Source organism: Homo sapiens, chromosome 11, assembly GCF_000001405.40.
Source record: "Homo sapiens chromosome 11, GRCh38.p14 Primary Assembly".
NCBI classification, from domain to species: Eukaryota; Metazoa; Chordata; class Mammalia; order Primates; family Hominidae; genus Homo; species Homo sapiens.
The window spans coordinates 24,445,184-24,455,009 of record NC_000011.10 but is presented as its reverse complement, the minus strand read 5'-3'; the positions used below and the strand labels follow the sequence as shown (position 1 = coordinate 24,455,009).

Below are 9,826 nucleotides of genomic sequence, written 5' to 3'. Positions count from 1 at the left end.
TTGAAGAATAAGTCACTTTAAAACAAAAAGCAGGGGTGAAATGCATTCCAGGTAGAGGGACACAACTGGCTAACACATGGAAACAGTGATGTGCTTAGCATGTGGGGTGAGGTATTCGGTCACTGCGCAGCAATGACTGGCTGGAAGAATACCTCATAAAATCAAATCATCCAACCTAGAGTATGCACCTTATTTTTCTGCCATGGTTTACCAAATTCGGTCATAAAATTTTGTGCGAAGTATCAATTGCTTTCCAAAGTTTCATCATTCGTCCAATAAGAACTTCAGCATCTCATTCGCCTTCCAGAATATTCTCAAAATCCCAAATCTTCTCTGAAGGTCTCATTCAGTAACACTTCATCATGACATGTGATCTTAAACATTTCACCTTAATAATCTCATTAACTAGGCCGGATGCAGTGTGCTCACACCTGTAATCCCAGCTTTTTGGGAGGCTGAGGCGGACAGATCACCCGAGGTCAGGAGTTCGAGACAAGCCTGGCCAACATGGCAAAACCTTATCTCTACAAAAAACATAAAAATTAGCCGGGTGTGGTGGCACGCGTCTGTAGTCCCAGCTACTGAGGAGGCTGAGGCAGGAGAATTGCTTGAACCCGGGAGGAGGAGGTTGCAGGGAGCCAAGATCACATAACTGCACTCTAGCCTGGGTGACAAGAGCAAGAGCAAGACTCTATCTCAAAAAAAAAAAAAGGAATGTCATAGGCTAGAAGTATTAGTTCCTGGAAGTTTTAGTGGGTGTAATTGGATCTTCTGACAAAAAGTCTTAACTTCTCCCATCCCACCTCACCCCAAGTACTGTTCAATTAATCTGTCTCTAAACCTCCCCTTATTGTGGCAGCTGGGATTTTTTTTTAATGAAAAGGGTTTTTTTTTTTTTTCTTTTAGCCTAAGTAAAGAATAATTATTCAAATTTGCATGAATACAAATACAAAAAGAAACATATTAACAATCTACCATGTGAATAGAAACACTGAGGGGGATGAAGGGCTTGATTATACTCAAAAACCTACTAACACATCTCACTTTGAGGAGATAGATTTTCCTGAGTCCAGCAGAAGTAGCAACAGTTGACTTTCTTTAAGATATACTTACTTCTAGTTACTTTTATTCTTCACCCAGTAGCTATCATCCTGATAACCACTGGCTTATGCAACATAAGTAATTTATCTAATAACATTAAATTTTGTTATCAATTGCAAATATAATCAGATAATAGTTATATGACATTAGGATGCTTTTTTTAGTTTGTTTTTTCCAGGCAATAGGTGAGTTATTGTTAATTTTTGAAATGTTGCAATTTTTAAAAAATTAGCCTAATAATCCCTTATTTCTAAATATTCAATATAACCTCTCAGAGTTTTATCATTTATAGTGTTTTATTTCTCCTCCAAACAACAGTTTTACCAGAAAGGAATTAGTCATCACCTTTGGCAGGTGATAAATGGGGAACTGAGCTAGAAAGAGGATTCCTTAATCTCTAAGGTCTAACGGCCGATGTCAGAATTTGGCAGAAAACTACAGTCTTATGAAGAAGATAGGGGAGGAAACAGGCATTTATTGACTATCTACCATAAGGCAGGCACTATGGTAAATACCAGAAACAAATTTTATCTCATTTTACCCAAACAAAAGCCCAGGGGGCTCTAGTGTTGTTATCCATGCTTAGCTCATACATAAAGAATTTGTGACTCAGAGGGACAAATCAGTTTACTGGAGGACATTTTTCTGATTTATTTATTTTTTGTATTATACTTTAAGTTCTAAGGTACATGTGCACAACATGCAGGTTTGTTACATATGTATACATGTGCCATGTTAGTGTGATGCACCCATTAACTCGTCATTTACATTAGGCATATCTCCTAACACTTTCCCTCTCCCCTTCCCCCACCCCACAACAGGCCCCGTTGTGTGATGTTCCCCTTTCTGTGTCCATGTGTTCTCATTGTTCCATTCGCACCTATGAGTGAGAACATGCAGTGTTTGGTATTTTGTTCTTGTGACAATTTGCTGAGAATGATGGTTTCCAGCTTCATCCATGTCCCTACAAAGGACATGAACTTGTCCTTTTTTATGGCTGCATAGTATTCCATGGTGTATATGTGCCACATTTTCTTAATCCAGTCTATCATTGTTGGACATTTGGGTTGGTTCCAAGTCTTTGCTATTGTGAATAATGCCGCAATAAACATACATGTGCATGTGCCTTTATAGCAGCATGATTTATCATCTTTTGGGTATATACCCAGTAATGGGATGGCTGGGTCAAATGGTATTTCTAGTTCAAGATCCTTGAGGAATCGCCAGACTGACTTCCACAATGGTTGAACTAGTTAACGGTCCCACCAACAGTGTAAAAGTGTTCCTATTTCTCCACATCCTCTCCAGCACCTGTTGTTTCCTGACTTTGTAATGATCGCCATTCTAATTGGTGTGAGATGGTATCTCATTGTGGTTTTGATTTGCATTTCTCTGATGGCCAGTGATGATGAGCATCTTTTCATGTGTCTGTTGGCTGCATAAATGTCTTCTTTTGAGAAGTGTCTATTCATATCCTTTGCCCAATTTTTAATGGGGTTGTTTTTTTCTTGTAAATTTGTTTGAGTTCATTGTAGATTCTGAATATTAGCCCTTTGTCAGATGAGTAGGTTGCAAAAATTTTCTCTCATTCTGTGGGTTGCCTGTTCACTCTGATGGTAGTTTCTTTTGCTGTGCAGAAGCTCTTTAGTTTAATTAGATCCCATTTGTCAATTTTGGCTTTTGTTGCCATTGCTTTTGGTGTTTTAGACATGAGGTCCTTGCCCATGCCTATGTCCTGAATGGTATTGCCTAAGTTTTCTTCTAGGGTTTTTATGGTTTTAGGTCTAACATGTAAGTCTCTAATCCATCTTGAATTAATTTTTGTATAAGATGTAAGGAAGGGATCCAGTTTCAGCTTTCTATATATGGCTAGCCAGTTTTCCCAGCACCATTTATTAAATAGGGAATCCTTTCCTCATTGCTTGTTTTTGTCAGGTTTGTCAAAGATCAGATGGTGGTCGATGTGTGTATTATTTCTGAGGGCTCTGTTCTGTTCCATTGGTCTATATCTCTGTTTTGGTACCAATAACATGCTGTTTTGGTTACTGTGGCCTTGTGGTATAGTTTGAAGTCAGGTAGCATGATGCCTCCAGCTTTCTTCTTTTGGCTTAGGATTCTCTTAGCAATGCAGGCTCTTTTTTGTTCCATATGAACTTTAAAGTAGTTTTTTCCAATTCTGTGAAGAAAGTCATTGGTACCTTGATGGAGATGGCATTGAATCTATAAATTACCTTGGACAGTATGGCCATTTTCACAGAATTGATTCTTCCTATCCATGAGCATGGAATGTTCTTCCATTTGTTTGTCTTCTCTTTTATTTCATTGAGCAGTGGTTTGTAGTTCTCCTTGAAGAGGTCCTTCACATCCGTTTTAAGTGTGTAGAAGGAAATTTATAGCATTAAATGCCCACAAGAGAAAGCAGAAAAGATCTAAAATTGACACCCTAACATCACAATTAAAAGAACTAGAGAAGCAAGAACAAACACACTCAAAAGCTAGCAGAAGGCAAGAAATAACTAAGGTCAGAGAAGAACTGAAGGAGATAGAGATACAAAAAATCCTTCAAAAAATCAATGAATCCTGGAGCTGGTTTTTTGAAAAGATCAACAAAATTGATTGACCGCTAGCAAGACTAATAAAGCAGAAAAGAGAGAAGAATCAAATAGATGCAATAAAAAATGATAAAGGGGATATCACCACTGATCCTACAGAAATACAAACTACCATCAGAGAATACTATAAACACCTCTACACAAATAAACTAGAAAATCTAGAAGAAATGGATAAATTCCTGGACACATACACTCTCCCAAGACTAAACCAGGAAGAAGTTGAATCCTTGAATAGACCAATAACAGGCTCTGATATTGAGGCAATAATTAATAGACTACCAACCAAAAAAAGTCCAGGACCAGATGGATTCATAGCCGAATTCTACCAGAGGTACAAAGAGGAGCTGGTACCATTCCTTCTGAAACTATTCCAATCAATAGAAAAAGAGGGAATCCTCCCTAACTCATTTTATGAGGCCAGCATCATCCTGATACCAAAGCCTAGCAGAGACACAACAAAAAAAGAGAATTTTAGACCAATATCCCTGATGAACATCGATGCAAAAATCCTCAGTAGAATACTGGCAAACCGAATCCAGCAGCACATCAAAAAGCTTATCCACCATGATCAAGTGGGCTTCATCCCTGGGATGCAAGCCTGGTTCAACATACACAAATCAATAAATGTAATCCAGCATATAAACATAACAAAGACAAAAGCCACATGACTATCTAAATAGATGCAGAAAAGGCCTTTAACAAAATTCAGCAGCCCTTCATGCTAAAAACTCTCAATAAATTAGGTATTGATGGGACGTATCTCAAAATAATAAGAGCTATTTATGACAAACCCACATCCAATATCATACTGAATGTACAAAAACTGGAAACATTCCCTTTGAAAACTGGCACAAGACAGGGATGCCCTCTCTCACCACTCCTATTCAACATAGTGTTGGAAGTTCTGGCCAGGGCAGTCAGGCAGGAGAAAGCAATAAAGGGTATTCAATTAGGGAAAGAGGAAGTCAAATTGTCCTGTTTGCAGATGACATGATTGTATGTTTAGAAAACCCCATCGTCTCAGCCCAAAATCTCCTTAATCTGATAAGCAACTTCAGCAAAGTCTCAGGATACAAAATTAATGTGCAAAAATCACAAGCATTCTTATACACCAATAACAGACAAACAGAGAGCCAAATCATGAGTGAACTCCCATTCACAATTGCTCCAGAGGATATTTTTCTACCATGAGAGCTGGAATTTAAATTTACACTTTCTGACTACCAGTTCCAAAAACTTGTATTGTTCCCATTGCTAACTGTAAAGAATGGCAATATAATCTAATATATGTTGAATATTTGATATGTGTCAAGCATTGCTTTAAGAGTTTTTATTGGCTAATATTTTATTGTTTGTTTTTTTGCAGAAAAATCTTTGCCCTCCTTAAGATAATAAAAAACATATGCCTTCATTCTAATCAGAATACTTCTCCAACATTTTTTAAAATTTTATTTTGTATTGGAGCTGACCGAAAAAAACCTTTTCCCTCTCTGATCATGCAGCTATCTACATCTGGGATTAGGCAGCCAGCTCCCTTACATAATGGAGAATTCTGTCTGATAGAACTAAGACAACATTCAGAGAAAACAGATTTAAAAGAGGAATTTTTTATTTAAAATTCCTGTTTCAAAGACTCCTACCATCCCACATCCAGATTTACTGCTGCTGTTTAAAGTGCGGTTTTTACATATTCACTAATTGTAAGGCTTCTTACTTATTTTCTGTTTTTGCAGTTGCTTTATTCTTTTACTTAAATATACCTTTACTGAATGAAGACAACTTTATACACATTGCTTCATTCAATCCTAGAATCAACCATGTTAGATCATTCATTCATCCATTCAATATTATTGGTCTTAAACAACATATACTGTCCTACTCATTGAAGCTACAACAGTGAACAAATCGAATCAAGTGTCCTGCCTTCATCCTTATTATAAGGTGAAGCAATTGAAGCACAAATAATTTAAATGCCTTACATAAGGTTTCAGCGTTAGTAAATGGCAAAGGAAAAAAAACTAAAACAAAGTTCACGCAAAGTTCATATTTCAAATTCTCATTATTTGAGAATCATGTTAATGAGAGCCTGTTTGTCCCTTTCATTTGCTCTCTTGAAAGATCCAGGAAACTGAATTTAAGTATTAAGTTTTATTTATGATTGCTTAAGAGATGAATATTACTTGGCTTGAGGAAATGTCTAGAGTCAGGAAATTATTTCTTATCAATCGAATGTTTCTTTTGTTTAGTCAACTTAGAATTTGCTAAGTTTACTAAGATGGATAGAGTTAAGAGAAAAATTGATCCTCAGAGGAGTCACACCAAGGACACTTTCCATATAAAACCTAACATCTTATTAAAGGAATTCCTACTCACAGAGTGATATATGTCTAAGAAATCCTATTTCAGAAACTTTCTTTTTCTAGAATTTAGAAACTCATGAATCTAGTGAAATGGTTAAAAGCCTTGCTGAGAAATCAGTTTTGCAGTCAAACTTCTGGATCTTTCATGAATTTATTTAATAAAAAGTAATTTATACAAGAACTATTTTGAATATTTTTCATCCCTGCCATTTTATAATAAAAGCCAGGTTAAAATCTCAAACCGGTCTGCCATTCTACCACTGTGCGCCCTACATTCCAACCACCTGAATCTCAGCTGTCCTCTGAATGCTTCTTGTGCTCATGTGTCTCCACATCCTTGCTCATATTTCTCTGCCTAGAGACTTACCCTTTCTGTCTATATTTTCCTTTGTTCCATTTCACACATCCCTCTTGCCACTACCTGCTCACATTTTTAACTAAAGAACTTATTTTCATTATTCAAGGCCCAGCTCAAAGTTTGTCTCTACTAAGCATTTTCTCTCATTTTCCTCTCTTTTCTCAATTTACATAAAACGTTCCCTCCTCTCATTATTGTTCCATTCACATGTTTATTCTAGTGCATTGTGCCACCAATAGTCTTTTTCTATTATGTTTTTGTTTCTAATTTGAGCTCTGTGAAAAACAGAGCTAGATTATTTTCCATATTTTTTCTTCCAGTGCCTAATTTAGTGCTTAGTTAATATTAAAAATCAGATAATTATTAATGAGTTAAAGTTGTTTTGCTAAATAGTAACAGAAATAATGTTTTATTATCAGAAAGATAACAACTAAAAAGATGGATTGATAGATACCTGAAATTCATGGATTTATATAAGTGGACATATTACATTAATAGCTTTAACCAGAATTTCTCTTTGGGAATGAGGAAAGTTTGTTTAAGAAGACAACTTGAAGTGTTTTGTGGGTACAAGGTGGGATAAGAAGGCTTGAGTCAGTCAGCATCAGAAAGCACGAAGCCAGTGAAAGAACAAGGTGCATCACCAAAGGTAATATAATTAACAAAACAGAGACCAGGAGAAAGGTATTCTTGAAAACAATGAACAGATAGTATTGGTTGTGAGAATCACTACCAGTGGGGTGGCTGAAAGCTTATTATGCATTGGTAGTACCTAGCAATCCAGTTGAAAGGTAGTGCACATCTGCACTGTAAATCTCTTTTCAGAGACTTCCATTTCTAGAAGTAAATGATTGCTCTGTACTATCTTTTAAAACAAAATTCTAAAAATTCTGTTTAATGTAAAGTAAACAGATCTCTAAGTTTATACTTTTGTTTTCAAAAAAGTAAAGAAAATTCCCAGGGGGTAAAATGTGAAAAATAGGCTAAAACATAGAGCAAAAATGCACTGGGTGGCCTAAATCCATGTGGCAGTCTTAGTGATCAAACAGCCTCAGTTTTACTGGTTAAGCCTTGTGGATAGAATAAATCATAGCCTTATAGTTACACAAAGGAAATTTGGAACTGACATTTCCTCACATAGCCTCCTCCTTGAAGGTCTCAATGAAAAGGGTGAACTAATAAAATACTCGCACCTCTATAGAGGGAGAAAAAGATAGATTGTTTGTGCCCTGAGGCTGAGTAGGAAAAAAAAGTTTCCCCTAAGAAATATTTTTAAATACCTCCCCTAATTAATCATCAAAGTTTAATTTATATTCTGTGTAAATTCTGTAAAAATTGCTGGGGTGGATTTAAAATAGGCCCTAAAATATTGGATATGGCTTCTTTTTAGAAGCTGAAGTTAATTCTCTTCATTTGCTTGTGGGCTAGGCTTAGTGACTCATTCATAATGAATAGGATATATCAGAAGTGCAATGGGTGCCTTTTGAGGCTAGGTCACAAAATTCATTTCAGCTTCTTTCTTGTTCTGTAGGGGTGGGTTGCCCCTCCACACCTGTGGGTGTTTCTCGTAAGGTGGGACGAGAGATTTGGAAAAGAAAAAGACACAGAGACAAAGTATAGAGAAAGAAATAAGGGGACCCGGGGAACCAGCGTTCAGCATATGGAGGATCCCGCCAGCCTCTGAGTTCCCTTAGTATTTATTGATCATTTTTGGGTGTTTCTCAAAGAGGGGGTGTGTCAGGGTCACAAGACAATTGTGGGGAGAGGGTCAGCAGACAAACACGTGAACAAAGGTCTTTGCATCATAGACAATGTAAAGGATTAAGTGCTGTGCTTTTAGATATGCATACACATAAACATCTCAATGCTTTACAAAGCAGTATTGCTGCCCGCAGGTCCCACCTCCAGCCCTAAGGCGGTTTTTCCCTATTTCAGTAGATGGAGCATACAATCCGGTTTTATACCGAGACATTCCATTGCCCAGGGAGAGGCAGGAGACAGATGCCTTCCTCTTGTCTCAACTGCAAGAGGCATTCCTTCCTCTTTTACTAATCCTCCTCAGCACAGACCCTTTACGGGTGTCGGGCTGGGGGATGGTCAGGTCTTTCCCTTCCCACGAGGCCATATTTCAGACTATCACATGGGGAGAAACCTTGGACAATACCTGGCTTTCCTAGGCACAGGTCCCTGCGGCCTTCCGCAGTTTTTGTGTCCCTGGGTACTTGAGATTAGGGAGTGGTGATGACTCTTAAGGAGCATGCTGCCTTCAAGCATCTGTTTAACAAAGCACATCTTGCACCGCCCTTAATCCATTCAACTCTGAGTTGACACAGCACATGTTTCAGAGAGCACGGGGTTGGGGGTAAGGTCACAGAATCTCAAGGCAGAAGAATTTTTCTTAGTACATAACAAAATGGAGTCTCCTATGTCTACTTCTTTCTACACAGACACAGTAACAATCTGATCTCTCTTGCTTTTCCCCACATTGTTCTCTCTCTTCTCAGTCATTCATCATGGGGGAATCTCCTCCTATGTTGTGAGGAAACATCAAACAGTCCTATGGAAAGGTCCATGTGAAGACAAACCGAAGCATCCTGCCAACAGCTAGCAAGGATTCAAGGTTTACTCCTTATAGCCATTTGAGGGAAGCAGATCACCCAGCCCCACTAAGGCCTTTGGAAGACTACATCTTTGACCAATGGCTTATCCATAACCTCATGAGAGATCCTGAGCCAGAACCACCTAGCTAAGGGGCTCCTAAATTTATGACACACAACAAAGAAACAAACCTCAACATTTATAAATGTTATAATAATAAATTATAATAAATTTTTTTGCTTAGAATTGCTAAGATTGATGATAATTTGATACAGAGCAAAATATAAAAAATGCAATCTTATACAAATAATTTAATCGGAAATCTAAGACCAGATTGATAGTAACACTTTGAATTCTGACAGAAGCCAGTCCACACCCTGTGTGGAAAGACAAATCCTCAGATAAGACCTTATATTTACAAAATTCTCACAGTGAAAGCTCAGATGAACACTATATTCGTCCATTTTCCCATTTCTATAAAAAACTGCCAGAGATTGGGTAATTTATAAAGAAAAGGAGTTTAATTGATTAACAGCTCCACATAGCTGGAGAGGCCTCAGAAATCTTACAATCATGGCAGAAGGCAAAGGGGAAGCAAGGCATGTCTTACCTGGCAGCAGGAGACAGAGAGAGTGAGGTGGGAAGTGCCACACTTTAACACCATCAGATCTCATGAGAACTTACTCACTATTACAAGAACAGCAAGGGGGAAATCTGCTCCCACAATCCAATCACCTCCCATCAGGCCTCTCCTAAGACACATGGGGATTATAATTTAAAATGGGATTTGAGTGGGC

The 9,826-nt window shown here is 37.7% G+C and overlaps 1 annotated feature.

The window, feature by feature from the left end:
• Positions 8,292-9,105: an enhancer, noted in NCBI's record as "NANOG-H3K27ac hESC enhancer chr11:24467451-24468264 (GRCh37/hg19 assembly coordinates)". NCBI's record gives its function as "activates a minimal SCP1, AML or CMV promoter by ChIP-STARR-seq in primed H9 embryonic stem cells {active_cell/tissue: H9 hESC(primed)}" and the evidence as "EXISTENCE:reporter gene assay evidence [ECO:0000049][PMID:30033119]".